The sequence below is a fragment of the Homo sapiens genome, chromosome 11, assembly GCF_000001405.40.
Source record: "Homo sapiens chromosome 11, GRCh38.p14 Primary Assembly".
NCBI classification, from domain to species: domain Eukaryota; kingdom Metazoa; phylum Chordata; class Mammalia; order Primates; family Hominidae; genus Homo; species Homo sapiens.
Genome location: NC_000011.10, coordinates 82,335,357 through 82,356,199, shown reverse-complemented (window position 1 = coordinate 82,356,199; position 20,843 = coordinate 82,335,357). Strand labels below are relative to the sequence as shown.

At 36.2% G+C, this 20,843-nt stretch overlaps 1 long non-coding RNA gene across 1 annotated transcript in view; it reads left to right on the top strand.

Moving 5' to 3' along the window:
• Positions 1-20,843, top strand: part of MIR4300HG (MIR4300 host gene) — a 524,063-nt gene that overhangs the window by 47,714 nt on the left and 455,506 nt on the right. Inside the window, exon 3 of the long non-coding RNA NR_120571.1 lies at positions 6,196-6,274. This is a non-coding gene — a long non-coding RNA (MIR4300 host gene). The remainder of the gene's footprint in view (positions 1-6,195; positions 6,275-20,843) is intronic.

Sequence of the window (20,843 nt, the reverse complement as noted above, 5' to 3'; positions counted from 1 at the left end):
TGAATATAGAGATGTCATTGAGAAATAGATGATAAAGTGTCTTGCCGTGTTGGGTTTTAACCAGAGATTAAGTCCAGGGCACTTGATAGGTACTCAACAAGCATTTTTTAAAGAGTTGAAACAAGAGTCAACCAGAGTTAGTAAGAAAATACATGAGAACCCTAGTAAACACCTTTTCTAAATACCTACGCACAATTTTTTTCTGTCCTTTTTTTTTGCTCCCGTTGAAGCAATCTGTGTGCTCCAAAACACAATCAGAAATCAAAATCAGCTCCTTATTAAAAAACAGCTTTTTTAAACATATACTTTAAAAATTCTCCCATGCATGCCATGACTTAATTGGAGAATATTTTAGTTAGATTACTTTTCACAGCCAAATGATTTGATCAAGGGGTGAACATGCCATTTGAGACTCTACTCTTGTCTCAGGTGTACTCTGAGCCCATTTATACGAGCAAAATTTATGAAAAATATATATGCATGGTTCTTGGGCTTGATTTTGGCAATCAGCTGGTAAAATTTGAATGCACAGAACTGCAGCAGTAGCTTTCAGCATGGCCCACAGATGGAGCTACTGGATTTGGAAAATTAAATTGGCCTTGGGACATTCCGCATTCGTGTAAAAGTATGCAAAGTTTACAAATGATCCAACTTCCAGATTATCTCCGGTTTCCTTATAATAGGACAAACCAACTTATAAACTTTCCTATGATAAAATCTGCAGCAGCTAAATAGCAAATGGCCTCAGGATTTTTTTAGCAAATTCAAAGATTATATAAAATATTGTTTTCTATCTATTGGGAGAAAAGTGGTCCAATTATGGTTAGTAATATCCAGGAAGCTCATGACTTTCGACAGCATCCTAGCTTTAAGGTCACCAAAATTCAGTGTTATGATAAAGTGATGTGTCTAGGCCATTTTTAGGTATATTACAAGTACACTTGTCTTCCATCACAGTTACATACTAACATCCGCACATAACTTACTTGTCTTAAATTATTTAAGGATAATGTTAAATGCATTCCTATACTGGTGGTACATTTTGCTATACTTTTTAGAGATGAGGAGAAATGCTTGAAATTAGATCTGAGAATTGCATGACTCTCTCAGTCTAGGTTAACTATATCCATACTTGTGCTATTAATATATATTATGCTCATTAATACATTGATTCAATTATTTGACAAATATTTATTGAGTACCTGCAGTACATTGGACAGTATTCTTGGTGCTGGACATACAATGGTGAACAAGGCACACAAGATCTTTGATTTTTATGAAGCTTACTTTCTAGAAGAAGGAATCCGGCATTGAAAAAACAAAACAAAAACAAAAACAAAACAATTTCAGTTATTTATATGGTATGAGTTTCCCATTGCTGCTATAACAAATTATTACAAATTTTGGGCCCACAGCCCTACTCTCTGAACTTTGTGGATTTGCCCTTAGGAATCATGGCTCTGACTTCTGAATAATACTTTCTTTTTAATGAAGGGTAAGAAATGTTTGCATATGAGTAGTCTTATCAGCCTGTTTTATGCCTGTAGAATTGTAGGAGTCCAATACTTTTATTTCATCTTTTCTTTGTCCCTTTCAGTCCAAGATGGCAATATTTTTGCGAGCATGACATTCTCGAAACCTCACAAGTTTCTCACGTATGTCTCAGGGATTTACTCCATTAGACAAGGAGCTCCTTTGCAAATCTGGAAAATTCCAACTATTTTTTGTTTATGATTAGATGGCTGAGAGAATCCATGAGTTACATGCCTAATCTCTTCACAGAGCCTTCTGTGTGATTGAATCTCTGACCTTTGATCCTTCTGAGGCACTAACAATAGGTGGTCCAGCCCCATCCTTGATTGTCTCCTACAGCATGTTTCCCTGACAGCGAATCTCCTGAATTTAGTGTCTTTCCTGAATTTAGTGTCTTTTGCAGTCTTTTGAGAATTTCCCAAATCAATAGGTGCTGGTTCTTTTTTGTTCAATACTTCTTCCCTCAATTTATTTCTTTCTTGTCACATTTTACTATAAGCAGCAAGAGGAAATCAGAGTGCAACTCTAGGCTGCACCTTCGATATTTTACTTAGAAATCTCCTCAGATAAATATTCAAATTTATTGCTTATAAGCTCTACTTTCCATATAATTGTAGGACACAATTCTTCTAAGTTGTGTTTCCACTTTATAGCAAGGATCCCTAATTCCTCCAATGGTCTTTTTTGCTCTTTTAATTCTTCATATTGACCTTTTATTAGAGTTTAGTTAAGTTTGATAAGCATTGAGTAGTTGCTTTGTGCTAGGCAATGTAGTACAAATGGTATGGGTATAAAAAAGACCATGTCCCTATCCTCAGTGAGTTCATAGTCTAGTGCAGGAGATGTTGTGACTTTTATATATAAAAGTAATGACTTATATATGTATATATTCCGTATGTTTTCCATATATAGTTATTCCATATGTTCCATATTCCATATGTATTCCATATATTCCATATGTAGTGACTTTTATATATATATTCCATATATATGGAATATATGGTCATTATATATATATTCCATATATATTCATATACATATATATGTGGAATATATATATGTGTGTGTATATATATGTCTGGAATATATATATGTGGAATATATATGTGGAATATATATATATGTGGAATATATATATATATATTCCATAGCTGGAATACTGAGGAAAGCTAAAAGAGGATGTGTTCATAACTCTTTTTTGTTAGGTCTGAATAAGTCTTTTTTTAAAATTATACTTTAAGTTCTGGGATACACGTGCAGAACATGCAGGTTTGTTACATAGGTATACACGTGCCATGGTGGTTTGCTGCACCCATCAACCCATCATCTACATTAGGTATTTCTCCTAATGCTATCCCTCCCCTATCCCCCAACCCTCTGACAGGCCTTGGTGTGTGATGTTCCCCTCTCTGTGTCTATGTGTTCTCAGTGATCAACTCCCACTAATGAGTGAGAACATGAGGTGTTTGCTTTTCTGTTCCTCTGTTAGTTTGCTGAGAATGATGGTTTCCAGCTTCATCCATGTCCCTGCAAAGGACATGAACTCATCCTTTTTTATGGCTGCATAGTATTCCATGGTGTATATGTGCCACATTTTTTTAAATCTCTCTCTAAGCAAAAAGAGCAAAGCTGGAGGCATCATGCTACCTGACTTCAAACTATACTACAAGGCTACAGTAACCAAAACAGCATGGTACTGGTACCAAAATAGATATATAGACCAATGGAACAGAACAGAGGCCTCAGAAATAACACCACACATCTACAACCATCTGATCTTTGACAAACCTGACAAAAACAAGCAATGGGGAAAGGATTCCCTATTTAATAAATGGTGTTGAGAAAACTGGCTAGTCATATGCAGAAAACTGAAACTGGACCCCTTCCTTACACTTTATATAAAAATTAACTCAAGATGGAATAAATACTTAAACTTAAGACCTAAAACCATAAAAACTCTAGAAGAAAACCTAGGCAATACCATTCAGGACATAGGCATGGGCAAAGACTTTATGACTAAAACACCAAAAGCAATGGCAACAAAAGCCAAAATTGACAAATGGGATCTAATTAAACTGAAGAGCTTCCACACAGCAAAAGCAACTATCATCAGAGTGAACAGGCAACCTACAGAATGGGAGAAAAATTTTGCAATCTATCCATCTGACAAAGGGCTAATATCCAGAATCTACAAATAACTGAAACAAATTTACAAGAAAAAAACAAACAACCCCATCAAAAAGTGGGCAAAGAATATGAACAGACACTTCTCAAAAGAAGACATTTATGTGGCCAACAAACATATGAAAATAAGATCATCATCACTGGTCATTAGAGAAATGGAAATCAAAACCACAATGAGATACCATCTCACACCAGTTAGAATGGTGATCATTAAAAAGTCAGGAAACAACAGATGCCGGAGAGGATGTAGAGAAACAGGAATACTTTTACACTGTTGGTGGGAGTGTAAATTAGTTCAACCATTGTGGAAAGCAGTGTGGCAATTCCTCAAGGATCTAGATCTAGAAATAACCATTTGACTCGGCAATCCCATTACTGGGTATATACCCAAAGGATTATAAGTCATTCTACTATAAAGACACATGCACACGTAAGTTTATTTCAGCACTATTCACAATAGCAAAGACTTGGAACCAACCCAAATGCCCATCAATGATAGACGAGATGTAGTGACTATTAAGTTAGCAGGATGAAACTATTACTACCATAAATAATGTTATATCCTATAATAGAAATATGCCCAAGAAGTTAATAAAGGGCAAAGATGGGACACCTAATATAACCTCTAGGGGTAGGGAAAGTTTGGAGAGGTTTCTTTCTTAGATATTATGCCTTTTCTGAGTCTTAAAAGATAAGTAGGTTTGGTTAAGTAAGGAAAGAGTACGAGTGAGCATTCTAAAGAGAGAGCACCATAAAAAAAATAATGGAGGCATGAAAGTTGGTGTTATAATCAAAAACCTCTAAGAAATTCAGTTTCTGAACTTTGAATTTTTCATAAATTTTACATTTCTTTATCAATACCTGTTGTGAAGCATGAACGTCCCAGGCAAGGGCACTATAGTAGTGAGTCAAGGCTCCCATCCAAGGTAGAATGTGAATTGTGGCCACGAGAAAAATAAGGCTGTATGTAGTTGGGGAAACAGTGCTGAATGTAAGGCGAGCAAACAGACTTGAATCTTAGAGAACTGGATGAAGTGATTAGTACAAGTCTGACCAAGTGGTTCAGATGTGAGGCTGTTGGGTGGTCCCTGTCACAAGTGCTTGGCTCAGAGTTGGGACAGGGGTGTTTTACGACCACTAGAATCAGATAAATGAAGAATACTTTTTATTTCTCCTCTTGAACTCTTCAAAAGAAAACAAGGAAATGATTTATAAATCAAAACCAGGATGCCAGGTCTGACATCAATTAATGTGTCATGTGCTAAGAACTTCCCCTGGTAGATAAACACCAAGCTGATTCAAAGTGATCTTGGATAATAAGAGACAGGTAATGACAGGAACATACGCCTTCCCAGATGCAAAAGATATTAAGCAGGGATCAGGAGAGAATAAGTTGCATGCATAAAGACTCTGTCCTCTCTCCTTAGGAATTGTCAGGAGGATATGCTGGTAAGTTTCTCATACGGCTGAAGAACTTGAGTTTTAAAGGGAGGAGGAATAAAGCATGAATTCAGTACCAACCAGATGCTAAGCATATAACGTTTGCATACTTTGGGTAAAACCTCATGATCATCCTATGGAACTAGTTATATCCTGATGGAAAAAAGGGACATCCAGAATGGTTGAGTGCCTGGTTTTAGGTTCATCGCCGGCACGTAAATGTGAGTCTGCTTAGCTACAAATAGTATATTCTTCCCACTCTACTACACTGTCCACTGAAATTATAGATCTTAATTAAAAGAAATTCAGACAGATGACAGGAAAATGCACGTTCAGAGTGGGGACAGTGGGTATAAGAATGTAGAAGTGGCCTGAAAATTCAGTATAATAGCATTCTGTTCCTGGTTCTGTCATTGACACGGAGACAGTGGTATATTATTCCCCCCTCTCTGGGCCTCAGTTTAAATGAGGTATTTGGATAAGAAAAAATGCCAAAATTTTTTTAGCTGAGGGAGTCTAGGCTTTGATGGTAATTTTTTAGGTTGGTAATAAAAAGTTAAATTTTGCTCTGAGAGGTTATTTTTTTAAATCATATTAGACTTCTGATGCATCATTCATTCATTATGCTATAATTGGGTGCTCAAAAGGCCCCATTTTCTGCACCTTTCCAGCCCTACCACTCACTTTCTATGTGACCTTATTTCTTCATATTTCAGTGTGGATTACAATAAAATGCACTTCATAGAGTTTTTGCGATGAAATAAATTGATGTGGGTAAAGTGCTTATACAAAAGTCTGGCACATACAAATAGTTTGATAAATGTAATATTATGCATAATATATGATTATTATTCTGACTACATCTCTACTCATTTACAACAATCTCTCTCCTCCTGGATCAAAATTTTCCCATTATATATACTTCAGTCAGCTAGGCCTTGCTGTTTACTAGCTCATTAAAGATAAAACATTAATCATTGATAGTGATAACAAATTACCATACTCCCCCTCTGAGGGAACTTGTTCACATTTTGATAGGATCTTCCGATGCCTGGACACAGAAAGAGCAGTGGAAGGGGTCGTTGCATGAGCAAAGACAAAGAGTGGGACACTGACTGTGAGTCCTTTGAGTCTTGTTTTTACCTTTCAGCACAAGCATGACTTTTGAATTGATGGAATAGAAAGAATACTTTAGTGGTCCAGGTAAAGGTTCTTATAAAGAAGCCCTAGAGATATTTATTTAGCACGTTCTTATCTAATAGAGGCTGAAACTCTTTCTGATGAGATGCGAAACAACTTTGTTTTCTTTTTGCAATCCTTGATTCATTTGAACAGCTAAAATGGTTTTTTGTTTGTTTTTAAACTCTGCTTGGAAGGTATATGTTGTTAGGTTCATTCCCTAATCTGCAATCTGAGGCGTGATCTGTGTATCCCTGGACTAAGGCCGTATGGAGGGCTGGATACCTGAGATTAGGCAGAAGCAGCAATTAAGGGACTGATACATAATACTGGTTCATGTAACCAGGAGATAAATGACCCTGAGGTTCTCCTAGAAAAGGCAGTTTTGAATGGCAGCCTTTGCTTTCTGGAGCCTGTTCAAAAATCATCTACGGACCTAGGCTAGGAAAGTGGGGGATGCCAGAGTCTGTGTGGTCGGTTATCTTAAGTACCTGAAGCAGGTGTCCTATGTTGGCAGGAGTAGGTCGGTGCTTATGATTATAGGAAAGGGTGCGGAGCTTTGTTTGATGCACTCAATTCATTCCTGGCAATTTTATTAAGTTTCTATCACCATACAGGGCACCTCCAGGCTCTCTATTAAATAAATGGCCCATCAGAAGTCATTGGATACACCGTGTAATAAAGTTTGTCATGTGCCAAGAGTGTTTCAGGGTGGAGTGAGTAAAGTATTCATTTTTACTGGAATTGACTTGATCACCTTTGTAACCAGAGAGAATGAACCCAGTAGAAAGGGGACTATATAGAGATAGAAGCCAATAAAGCATTATTCTAGAGGAAGGCAGCAGTGAACAGATTTTGCTTTTGGAGAAAGAATATCTCATTGAATGAAGAGATGAGGATAGTGGTGATTGTGGAGATCAAAACTATGGATATAGAAATCAAATGGATGTAGAGATTAAAACCATGCAAATATTTTACATAATTAAAACAAAAGTAAGTTAGAAGAAGCATTGAAGCAATCCCCAAAGCTGCAAAACTGAACTTAAATATCAGGTTGGTTGCATAACCATATACAAAAAAAGTTAAATAACTTTAAATATGTTGATACATGCTAAGCATTAAAAAAAATCACTAAGACATCAAACTGGCTTTTTTGCAGTTTTATTATTGGCAATAACACAATAAGTGGTAAGTAATTTTGTTCCTGTCTTAGCAACCAAGGTTTTCAGCATAAGAGAAAAAATACAAACATAGAAAATCAGATAATTAAACATTTACTATGATTTTATATATGAATTGGAGATATCAGCACAAATTTGTTGTTTAGTTTTCTCTTAAAAATGCTTATTTCGTAACTTTGTCTGCTAAAATGGACTTACAAGCAGTGGAAAATTCAGTAGCAATAGTTACATCTTGTGTATGTTTGTGATCTCTGAATATTATTTTCCATGCAAGGAAACTAGGAGCTAGGACTTCAGTCTGGGACAGGAAATGTATGTAATGAGCCTGGAATATCTTATTGTTTCAGAAAGCAGAGAAGCTCTCAGAAAGTCTCAAGGATTTTTGAAAATGATCTAGGATTCATATAAAGGGCTCCTGCTAGCTAAAATGCAATAATTTGAACATGAAAGAGAATAATGACAATGGTTTGAAACATAACAACCTAGATAAATCTATGAGTAACAAAACTCACAAAAAAACCCACAAAATATTTTGTTATATTTGGAGGTTATTTTGGCACCAACTTATTAGTCTGAAAATCAATAAAATAATGAATCAGGCATTTGTGAATTTTATTTCAGGGCAATGAAATGGTGAGAAAGCAATGTTCTTATTTGTAGAAGAATTGTAGTTAATAAACACAGAAGGAATGATGGATTTAGAAAATTACTATTTGAGATTCCTAATGGGGAAAAATAGTTTATGCAAAGATTATCAATGGGTATTAAAACTAATAGGTGAAGAAAATGGATGGATTACACTGAAAACACTTGAGCCTAATAATCAATCTAAACACTTATAAACTAGAAGTAGGGCAATCAACCATGATGTGTTTCCTAATAAGATATAATAGAAGGTGTATAGGTATACAGTTTCATCATTGAGGTATAAGGTATTCTTGCAAAAACAAAACAAGACAAAAATGAACAAACAAACAAAGCCCTGAGTGCAGTCAAGCACATAGATCTAACTACTAATGTTCTAGAAATGTGAGAGGTAAAAGAAAAAAGCTAAATACCATGGGAAAATGATCAGTTAAATAAAAAATGTGGGACATTTCACAGGACAAATGACACATTTCCTTTAAAAAAAAATGGCAGTACAAGGATAGATTTTAGTAGGGATCCACAGTGGAAAAGTCTAGGAGTATAAGAAAATGTAGGTGCATATATGAAGACAGTAGAAATAAACTTTATGCAGACCAGGATCAATAGCAAAGAAATAAGGTCTGGGAAGAAATGAACAGGTAGAAAGGCAGGGGAGGGATTATGTAGGAAAACAGCGTGTTACATGGCAAGAGTGATGTCGTTTTGAAGCAAAGATGCCATGATTACTGATGTTTGACCTTCACACACCAAAGTGTTCTGGAGTTAGTTCTTTAAACAATGCCTGAAGCATAGATAACCTTTCATCAATATGCACACCTATCCTCCTCAGTGGTCATGAGTCTTGGCAAGAAAGCCTGAAGATGTGATCAGCTGCACGGGTTTTACTCGAAAAGCTTGCTATATGAAGAATACTTTTTGAGGAGAGTCGTGGTGATTCACCATCTCACAACCACCTGAGACATTGCTTCTGTTTATAATTCCCTATTATACATTTCTCTCTACAAAAAGGCATTTGTCATCCTCTTTCTTAGACCTCTCAGCACCCTCAGCATTTCAGGGTGGTAGGTTTGCATAGACCTTCTCACCGCAGAACAGAATAGAAGTCAAAGTGTTTTAAATCTGTAAATTGCTTTGGGCAGTATGGCCGTTTTTATAATATCGGTTCTTCCAACTAATGAGCATGGACTTTTAAAAAATCTTTTTGTGTTGCCTCTGATTTCTTTCAGTGTTGTTTTGTAGTTCTCCTTGTAGAGATTTTTCTACCTCCTTGGTTAGCTGTATTCCTAGATATTTTTTTCTTTGTGGCTGTTGTAAGTGGGATTGTGTTCTTGATTTCACTCTCAGCTTGGACGTTGTTGGTTTATATAAATGCTACTGATTTTTGTACATTTATTTTGTATCATGAAACTTTGCTAAAGTCATTTATCAGTTCTAGGAGCCTTTTGACAGAGTCTTTAGGATTTCCTAGGTAAAGAATCATATTGTCAGTGAAGAGAGATAGCTTGACTTATTTTCTTTTTTTAAATTTTTTTTCGGATTTTCTATGTGTATAAACAAATATTCTGGAAATAATATCAATTACATATTTTCTTATTGAAAAATAATGGGTTTTTTTGTTGTTTACATTTTACTGGTAAGGCTCTCCAAATTTTTTATTTTGCATTACTGTGGTTCTGCATCTCAAGAGGAAGAGGCTCAATAAAATATAATGTTTTCTGAATAAGTGTATTAGGTGTATCTATATGATTTTTTTAAATTATACTTTAAGTTTTCGGGTACATGTGCACAACGTGCAGGTTTGTTACATATGTATACATGTGCCATGTTCGTGTGCTGCACCCATTAACTTGTCATTTACATTAGGTATATCTCCTAATGCTATCCCTCCCCGCTCCCCCCACCTCACACCAGGCCCTGGGGTGTGATGTTCCCCTTCCTGTGTCTAAGTATTCTCATTGTTCAATTCCCACCTATGAGTTAGAACATGTGGTGTTTGGTTTTTAGTCCTTGTGATAGTTTGCTGAGAACTGGTTTCCAGCTTCATCCATGTCCCTACAAAGGACATGAACTCATCATTTTTTATGACTGCATAGTATTCCATGGTGTATATGTGAGACTTTGCTGAAGTTGCCTATCAGCTTAAGGAGATTTTGGGCTGAGATGATGGGGTTTTCTAGATATACAATCATGTCATCTGCAAACAGGGACAATTTGACTTCCTCTTTTCCTAATTGAATACCCTTTATTTCCTTATCCTGCCTGATTGCCCTGGCCAGAACTTACAACACTATGTTGAATAGGAGTGGTGAGAGAGGACATCCCTGTTTTTTGCCAGTTTTCAAAGGGAATGCTTCCAGTTTTGCCCATTCAGTGTGATATTGGTTGTGGGTTTGTCATAAATAGCTCTTATTATTTTGAGATACGTCCCATCAATACCTAATTCATTGAGAGTTTTTAGCATGAAGTGTTGTTGAATTTTGTCAAAGGCCTTTTCTGCATCTATTGAGATAATCATGTGGTTTTTGTCGTTGATTCTGTTTATATGCTGGATTACTTTTATTGATTTGCATACGTTGAACCAGCCTTGCATCCCAGGGATGAAGCCCACTTGATCATGGTGGATAAGCTTTATGATGTGTTGCTGGATTCGGTTTGCCAGTATTTTATTGAGGATTTTTGCATTGATGTTCATCAGGGATATTGGTCTAAAATTCTCTTTTGTGGTTGTGTCTCTGCCAGCCTTCAGTATCAGGATGATGCTGGCCTCATAAAAGGAGTTAGGAAGGATTCTCTCTTTTTCTATTGATTGGAATAGTTTCAGAAGGAATGGTACCAGCTCCTCCTTGTACCTCTGGTAGAATTCGGCTGTGAATCCGTCTGGTCCTGGACTTTTTTTGGTTGGTAAGCTATTAATTATTGCCTCAATTTCAGAGCCTGTTATTGGTCTATTCAGAGATTCAACTTCTTCCTGGTTTAGTCTTGGGAGGATGTATGTGTCGAGGAATTTATCCTTTTCTTTTAGATTTTCTATTTTTTTTGTGTAGAGGTGTTTATAGTATTCTCTGATGGTAGTTTGTATTTCTGTGGGATCGGTGATGATATCCCCTTTGTCATTTTTTTATTGTGTCTATTTGATTCTTCTCTCTTTACTTCTTTATTAGTCTTGCTAGCGGACTATCAATTTTGTTGATCTTTTCAAAAAACCAGCTCCTGGATTCATTGATTTTTTGAAGGGTTTTTTGTGTCTCTATCTCCTTCACTTCTGCTCTGATCTTAGTTATTTCTTGCCTTCTGCTAGCTTTTGAATGTGCTTCCTCTTCCTTCTCTAGTAATCTTTTAATTGTGACATTAGGGTATCAATTTTAGATCTTTACTGCTTTCTCTTGTGGGCATTTAGTGCTATAAATTTCCCTGTACACACTGCTTTAAATGTGTCCCAGAGATTCTGGTATGTTGTATCTTTGTTCTCATTGGTTTGAAAGAACATCTTTATTTCTACCTTCATTTCGTTATGTACCCAGTAGTCATTCAGGAGCAGGTTGTTCAGTTTCCATGTAGTTGAGTGGTTTTGAGTGAGTTTCTTAATCCTGAATTCTAGTTTGATTGCACTGTGGTCTGAGAGACAGTTTGTTATCATTTCTGTTCTTTTACATTTGCTAAGGAGTGCTTTACTTCCAACTATGTGGTCAATTTTGGAATAAGTGTGGTGTGGTGCTGAGAAGAATGTATATTCTGTTGATCTGGGGTGGAGAGTTCTGTAGATGTCTATTAGGTCCACTTGGTGCAGAGCTGAGTTCAATTCCTGGATATCCTTGTTAACTTTCTGTCTCGTTGATCTGTCTAATGTTGACAGTGGGGTGTTAAAGTCTCCCATTATTATTGTGTGGGATGGGAGTCTAAGTCTCTTTGTAGGTCTCTAAGGACTTTCTTTATGAATCTGGGTGCTCCTGTATTGGGTGCATATATATTTAGGATAGTTAGCTCTTCTTGTTGAATTGATCCCTTTACCATTATGTAATGGCCTTCTTTGTGTCTTTTGATCTTTGTTGGTTTAAAGTCTGTTTTATCAGAGACTAGGATTGCAACCCCTGCCTTTTTTTGGTTTCCATTTGCTTGGTAGATCTTCCTCCATCCCTTTATTTTGAGCCTATGTGTGTCTCTGCACGTGAGATGGGTTTCCTGAATACAGCACACTGATGGGTCTTGACTCTTTATCCAATTTGCCAGTCTGTGTCTTTTAACTGGAGCATTTAGCCCATTTACATTTAAGGTTAATATTGTTATGGATGAATTTGATCCTGTCATTATGATGTTAGCTGGTTCTTTTGCTCGTTAGTTGATGCAGTTTCTTCCTAGCCTCGATGGTCTTTATAATTTGGCATGTTTTTGCAGTGGCTGGTGCTGGTTGTTCCTTTCCATGTTTAGTGCTTCCTTCAGGAGCTCTTCTAGGGCAGGCCTGGTGGTGACAAAATCTCTCAGCATTTGCTTGTCTGTAAAGGATTTTATTTCTCCTTCATTTATGAAGCTTAGTTTGGCTGGATATGAAATTCTGGGTTGAAAATTCTTTTCTTTAAGAATGTTGAATATTGGCCCCCACTCTCTTCTGGCTTGTAGAGTTTCTGCTGAGAGATCAGCTGTTAGTGTGATGGGCTTCCCTTTGTGGGTAACCCGACTTTTCTCTCTGGCTGCCCTTAACATTTTTTCCTTCATTTCAACTTTGGTGAATCTGACAATTATGTGTCTTGGAGTTGCTCCTCTCGAGGAGCATCTTTGTGGCGTTCTCTGTATTTCCTGAATTTGAATGTTGGCCTGCCTTGCTAGATTGGGGAAGTTTTCCTCTGCCTTTGTCAGATGCATAGTTTGGGAATATCTTCTTCCATTCTGTAGGTTGTATGTTTGCTCTGTTGATAGTTTCTTTTGCTATGTAGAAGATCTTTAGTTTAATTAGGTCCCACTTGTCTATTTTTGTTTTGTTTCTGTTCCAATTGCTTTGTGGAACTTAGCCAAAAATTATTTGCCAAGGTCGATGTCAAGAAGATTTCTCAGATTGTCTTCCAAGATTTTTATAGTTTGAGGTCTTACATTAGAATCTTTAATCCATTTTGAGTTAACTTTTGTGTGTGGTGAAAGGTAGGGGTCCAGCTTCAATCTTTTGCCTATGACTAGATAGTTGTCCCCACACTATTAATTGAGTAGAGAGTCCTTTGTGCATTGCTTCTGTTGGTCTTGTCAAATATCAGATGGTTGTAGGTGTGAGGCTTTGTTTCTGAGTTTTCTATTCTGTTCCATTGGTATGTGTGTCTATTTTTGGACAAGTACCAAGCTATTTTGTTTCCTGTGACTTTTTATTTTATTTTATTATTATTATACTTTAAGTTTTAGGGTACATGTGCACTTTATAGCATAGTTTGAAGTCGGAAAATGTGATGCCTTCAGCTTTGTTCTTTTTGTTTATTTGGGCTATTTGGACTCTTTTTTGGTTCCATATACATTTTAGAATTTTTCTTCTAATTCTGTAAAGGATGACATTGGCATTTTATTTGGACCTAGTCCCCTGAGAACTGGAACAAAAGAAGGATGCCCACTCTCACCATTCCTATTCAACCTAGTATTGGAACTCTTAGCCAGAGCAATCAGACAAGAGAAAGAAATAAAAGGAATCTAGAGTTCCAGAATGGAACTTGTTGATTGGTTGGATGACTTGAGATTATTATTTTTTTAATTCTGTTTTTGTCCAGAAACTCTTCCAAGCATTAATACTGTCAAGCTTCTACTCACATGCCATTTTAAGATATTCAGAGATTAACAAAATATTGGATTGAAAATGAACCTTAAAATTCATATAGCCCAATGATCTCTTACCTCTTAGCAATTCTATCCTTATAAAAATAAGTTACATATATTGGAGACTCACAGCAACTCTTTAAAGTAGGTAGAATAACGATAATTAATTTTTACAGAAGAAGAAACTGAAGATCAGACAGGCGAAGCAATTCCTCAGTTGCAGCCTGGGACTTGAAATCAGATCTTCTGACTCCAGATGATTTAATCATTTTATTACATGATTTTCCTATTAATGGACTTCAAGAATGGAAGAGAAAAATAGTTTATTGAGCAATATGTGAAACAGTTAATGAGGTTAATTGGTAAACTTGCCATTTGTTTTAATATACAAACAACCAGTGATGCTGGAATGAGCAGAGGACTTAATAAGATTTAGGTATAAGTCCCGGATCAGCTTTTTGAATTTAGGACAGAAAGATATTCTAATCCTTAGAAGTCTCCCATGTTGAATGAGAATAATAATACTTGCTTTATTTAAGAAACTGTTATCAGATGAATTGCTTTATGTGAAGGTGCTTGTGAATGACAATAATCAGAATGGTTGATGTTGTTGATAGCTTTGTACTTATATAAGGAAGCACGTAGGTTCAAAAGAGTGACCCTTTCAATTCCCCAGTGCTTTTTCCTGTGTGACCAAGGGACCAGGAGACACACACTTTAACTTTGGAAGGGCTGTCTGGAAAGAATTCAAATTGAGTTTCAGAAAGCCAGTTGGAATTTAATAATGCATGAAAAATACACCAAGGGGAAGAAAGAACCAATTAGGAAGCAATTAAGAAGATTGCAATAACAATGCATCTTAATAAAGTACAAAAAATATTAAACTGCAAATAGGAGACTAAGTAGTTACCTGTGGAAGAAAAGAGAAGTGGAAATAAGGAGAGTTTCCAAGGTAGATATGAAAACAGAATAGAAAAGAAAAAACAAAACTGTATTTCACTATCTTTTTCTCTGCCTGTTCAAATCCCAAGCATCCTTCAAAAACCTTTCCCTCTGACACTCCATTAATCATTTATATTCAGCACTATTATTAAATTCCTGGTCTTAATTAACAATCTTTAAAAATGTAACTCTCATAATTCCCCGAATAGGAAGTACAAATGGTTAGTGAACTCTCGAAACATAATCAACTATCTTAGAATTCAAATAAGTACAAATTGAAACAATTTAATATCCCATGTTACTTTGAAAATTATAAACAATTTTTAAGCATTTTTTTAAAAACGGGCTCTCTGTTCACATTTGCATTTGGGGATCCTCCTTAATATTGAGCAGCTATTTGAAGAGCAGTGATTTCTCCAAGCATGACTACCAAGCAAGTGAGGTGTGGAGAAAGGAGGTCCGTAAAGAAATCAGAAGACTGAGTCAATTGACACCTCGGCTCCAACAGTGGAGTCACGAGAATTCAGATTTACAGCCAGTTTACTATTGGTTAATAAGTGTGAGAGGTGATAACTTTATATCAGATAGTTAATTTTCACAGTAATATCTGCTTATTGTTGTACCCCCATCTGAGCAAAGGAGAGAAATAAGACTGAGGGATTAACTATCTTTACCAAATTCAGGGTCTTAGTGAAAATCATGCAGGTTATATACATGAAACGGCTTTGAAAACTAATTAAATGCCATTATTATTATTATTATTATAAGATAGAACAACCTATTTGAGCAATATTAAATGCTAAAAGTTGCAAACAAAAGAAGTTAATGGTGTGTGCACCTAAAATTCTCAATAGTAAAAAATAAGAAGAAATTTTGAAGCCTATTTTAAACATTTACATTTCTTTTCTATTTTAAAATGACATTGGGCATCAAAGCCAAAATTGTGGTATGGATATTTGAAATCAACTTTAAGCAAGCTACATAATTTTTATTAGATTTGTTTTCCATGATTTGGAATATTAATATGATTTCCCCAATCACTTATTTAAATCCTTTACCTGTGTCCAAATCCAGAGCGATCTGGCTGGGTATTGATCTGGCTGCCCAAAAACTAAGAGTCTGTTTCTTTAGTACCTTATTATTTCCACTTGAGTTAGATATAGTGTTTTATTGTTTACTTTCTTTTAATTTTTGTTAATTATGATAAGGATATGGACAAATATTTTTCACATTTGCTTAATATGTGTGAGTCTTTTCCCCAGAATTGTTTTATGCATTCTGTGGAGCAAAGACTATATTTTATTTTACAATTTTTTAAAAAATTCTCTGTACTTTTGCTGGGCACCACTTGATAGAGTGCTGGATATAGTGTAGTCCACTCTCCTAATGCCTGGCGGAATCAGGAAGAATTAAAAAACCTGGAATCAAAGAATTGAAAGAAACTGTAAGGTAACATAGGACCTGCTTATGCCCTGATTTGGCAGTTTGCCTGGCTAGACCCCCTGGACCACTTGACCTTTATCTAAAACTCTACCTACAGTTCTACCAAAGTTTTAGGGACAATTCTGTTCTTAGGAAGAGAGGGATTTGGGGAAACTCTATCACATTTAGAAGTCAAGTGCCTCAGTAATATGAACCCATATTTCTGGGCTGGTTTTGACTTTTGATCCAGGTAAAAGTCTGATCTTTGAGCTTCTGCCTTATTACCAAATAAAGTCCCATATAGGATCTTATCGGTTCCTGGATTCCCATTTTGTTAACCTTTGATTACTCCATTCTTTCTCTGCAAGGATATTGCCTACTTACCTGAGACAGCACTGTGAATTGGAGAGAACACTGGCTTTGGAATCACACAGGTCCAAGTTTCAATCGTGACTTCATCATTCCCTGCTATGTGATTGTAGATACTTTTTTACAAAATTGAGTTATCTAATCTATAAAACAGGATCAATTATACCCAACTCAATGAGCTATAATGAAAATCAAATGAGATTCTCAAACAAATTTACAGGAAAAAAACAAACAACCCCATCAAAAAGTGGGCAAAGGATATGAACAGACACTTCTCAAAAGAAGACATTTATGCAGCCAAAAGACACATGAAAAAATGCTCATCATCACTGGCCATCAGAGAAATGCAAATCAAAACCACAATGAGATACCATCTCACACGTTAGAATGGCAATCATTAAAAAGTCAGGAAACAACAGGTGCTGGAGAGGATATGGAGAAATAGGAACACTTTTACACTGTTGCTGGGACTGGAAACTAGTTCAATCATTGTGGAAGTCAGTGTGGCGATTCCTCAGGGATCTAGAACTAGAAATACCATTTGACCCAGCCATCCCATTACTGAATATATACCCAAAGGACTATAAATCATGCTGCTATAAAGACACATGCACACGTATGTTTACTGCGGCACTATTCACAATAGCAAAGACCTGGAACCAACCCAAATGTCCAACAATGATAGACTGGATTAAGAAAATGTGGCACATATACACCATGGAATACTATGCAGCCATAAAAAGATGATGAGTTCATGTCCTTTGTAGGGAAGTGGATGAAATTGGAAATCATCATTCTCAGTAAAGTATCGCAAGGACAAAAAACCAAACACCGCATGTTCTCACTCATAGATGGGAACTGAACAATGAGAACACATGGACACACGAAGGGGACCATCACACTCTGGGGACTGTTGTGGGGTGGGGGTAGGGGGTAGGGATAGCATTAGGAGATATACCTAATGCTAAATGACAAGTTAATGGGTACAGCACACCAGCATGGCACATGTATACCTATGTAACTAACTGGCACATTGTGCACATGTACCCTAAAACTTAAAGTATAATAATAATAATAATAATAATAATAATAATAATAAAAAGAAAATCAGATGAGATTCTAACAACTTGTGCTTAAAGTTTTTTAAACTCAAAAAATATTAATTTCTTATTTTCCTTTCTATTTCTCTTATCCATCTATCTTAGAAACTACCATTCTCCTACACTTCTTGTATATGCTACACTTAGCTGTGTGCTTATAGATCTCCACAATGATAAGCCTGCTGTCACTGCAAGGCTGCCTGTGTGTTCCTAGGTAGGCAGTCTAGTACTTTCATGTATAATGTACTCTAGAAACTTGTATGACAGTCATAGATGCAAAAGAAATGAATTGATTTAAATATTTTAAGAGTTCCATTCCAAGGCATCAAGTAGATATTCCCCAAATTATGATGTAATATTCCATTTTCCTGTTACATATAATACAATGTATGTGTAATTATTTAAAATACAGATTAAATATCAACTACAAATAAGAAAATATAGTTAAACAATTTTTTTCTTCAAACTGTTTTGCTCAGCTTATTTGAAAGACAATGAAAAACAATTTTAACATTACACATAAAGGTATACTGTTCATTTTGCAAGGTATTTTGCAACTTTGAAAAAATTTTGTAAAGGTAGTATGAATCACTAGCCTGTTTCTCTTTATAAAGAAATCTGTTCTACTTTAGGAAGATATAAACTTTTGTTGCATTTGGATTACTGGGATGCTTTTATAATGTCCCTTATAAAATTATAATTTTAAGTATCATTGGTAATTTTTTTTTAAGAGAAGCTGCCTGCATTCCTTCCCTCTACAATGCTCATTCCTTCAAACAGAGGTGTGCTGAAGTTGGCTTGCATCAGAGAGGAGAACTGATTGCATTTGTTTCCAACTATGTTACCATGGTGTCATATTGGCAGGCCATGATGGGAATATTTGCACCATGGAAATCTATAAATGCTACAAATTAAGAATATTTGTGTTATTTTATTTTATTTTATTTTTGAGACAGAGTCTAGCTTTGTCTCCTAAGCTAGAGTTCAGTGGCGCAGTCACACTCACTGTACTGTCGACCTTCTAGGCTCAAGCCATCCTCTCACCTCAGCCTCCTGAGTAGCTGGGACCACAGGCACATGCTACCACACCCGGCTAATTTTTGTATTTTTTTTGTAGAGACAGGATTTTGCCACGCGGCCCAGGCTGGTCTTGAACTCCTGGCCTCAAGCCTCTGCCCACCTTGGCCTTCCAAAGTGCTGGGATTATAGGTGTGAGCTACCGTGCGCAGACTATTTTTTGAGAGCTGGTTGTTGAAGTTTGACCCTTACCCTACCATCTCAACCTTTGTTATTTCTGCTTATGCTCAAGAGTCATCAGATTACACCTGAAATTATATGTTCTACAAAGAATCCCTTGAGTGATCATCTTTATTTATGTGAGTTCAGGAGGCAACATTAACTAAGAGAGAAGAGGGCGACAAGCTCTTTGCTTTCTTCGCTTGCTGAACAAAAGCCTAATCACGTTTTTGGGTACCTTTGTATCATTTACTTTCACAAGGTAGAAAGTCAGTTATTTGTACAAGGCTTTCCAGAGAGAGAAGAGATCAAGACCCAGCTACTACTGCCCATCTCTTCTAAAAGGGAAATCATTTAGTGTGGACCAAATTGTTTGCATTTATGACTCAATGAAAAGGGAGGTGAATATGCCCAGTGTATTAAAATAATAATGAATTCAAAAGGAGTCTGAGCAAGTGAATTGGGTTTAATATAAAAGTCAGGATCTGTGGGATAAGCCTTGTTTTCGCACCTCCTGTTGCTGATATTTGTAGTAGTTCCCATCCTGGCCACCATGGCAACTGAGAAGTGGCAAGTGGCTGTGCCTAAGGAATAATTGCTGAGAATCAAACCATTTCAGGTAATCAGAAGGAGAGTGTGATTTTGGAGCCCCTGTGTGGACAGGGAGTTGGATTAGCAACGGTTTGCCGGTGGCAGAGGACTTGTGTGAGTCGTTAAGTGGGGCACAAAATGCATGACAGAAGAGAAAGACTGGAGAGGTGGACAAGATCAATCCCACTTCTATTCATTTTCCATCTCACCTTTGGAATCAAGCCTGCCCTCCTGAGTTTGGGAGATTTGCGAAAACATGTTCTCAGGAGTGAGTTGCTGGACTTTCTGATTCTAGGCCAGGGAGTAATTAATTTGGGAAATTAAAAAAAGATATGACTGTATTCGTTAATCCACAAATTCTACAAAGGTTTATTTAACTCCCACTACCTTGAAGGCACTGTATGGGCACTTGCAATAAAGCAGTGAACAAAACAGCCAAAGATCCCTGCCCTCATGGACCACATTTACATTGTTTGTATTCTGAATATGTGGAGCAAATCACATTGTACATTTTCCCCACTTCTGCATTGCTCGTTTCTTCAGAAATTAATTTACAGCATTTGGTATATACTTTCAATTTTTCTCTTTCTTCACAATTATGTCCAAGCATTTACATTTTTGACATGCCTATGTATTTTTACTTTTGCACAATTATCACTGCTATCTAAATTTTAATGTATTCTACTTTTCATTCCTTTGGTTAAATGTGTAATTAAGTCAAACAATTGATTTGACCATTTTTGTAACTGTTGTACTTCCTGGAGGTGCTTAATAATTTCTTACTAGATATTTGATCAATAATTGTTGAACATTTCCTTCAACAGTTTCAAGGGAAATGTGGGATAGAGGCAGTATGGTGAGATTCTTTGGTATGGACAATCCATAAATAAGCCAATTTTTAAAAAGGTAATAAGTTCCTTCTGTTCTCTTAACTTTGAGTCCTAAACAGAAAATACGGTTTAAATCTAACATACCCCAAAATGTTGTAATTGTTTGCATTGGGTTAGAGTGCAAAGAAGATTTATAGACTTGAATTTAAATCCAGTACTCCCTCTTACTGACTAGGTAAACTTGCACAAATAATTTAAACTTTCTTAGAATCTATTTCTAATTAATAAAACAGGGACAATACCCACTTCACTGGTTAACAGAGCTTAACAAATAATGTATATAAAATAATATTAATAGCTAAGCCTATTGAGTGGTAACTATGTGCTGTCACTTTCATAAGTAG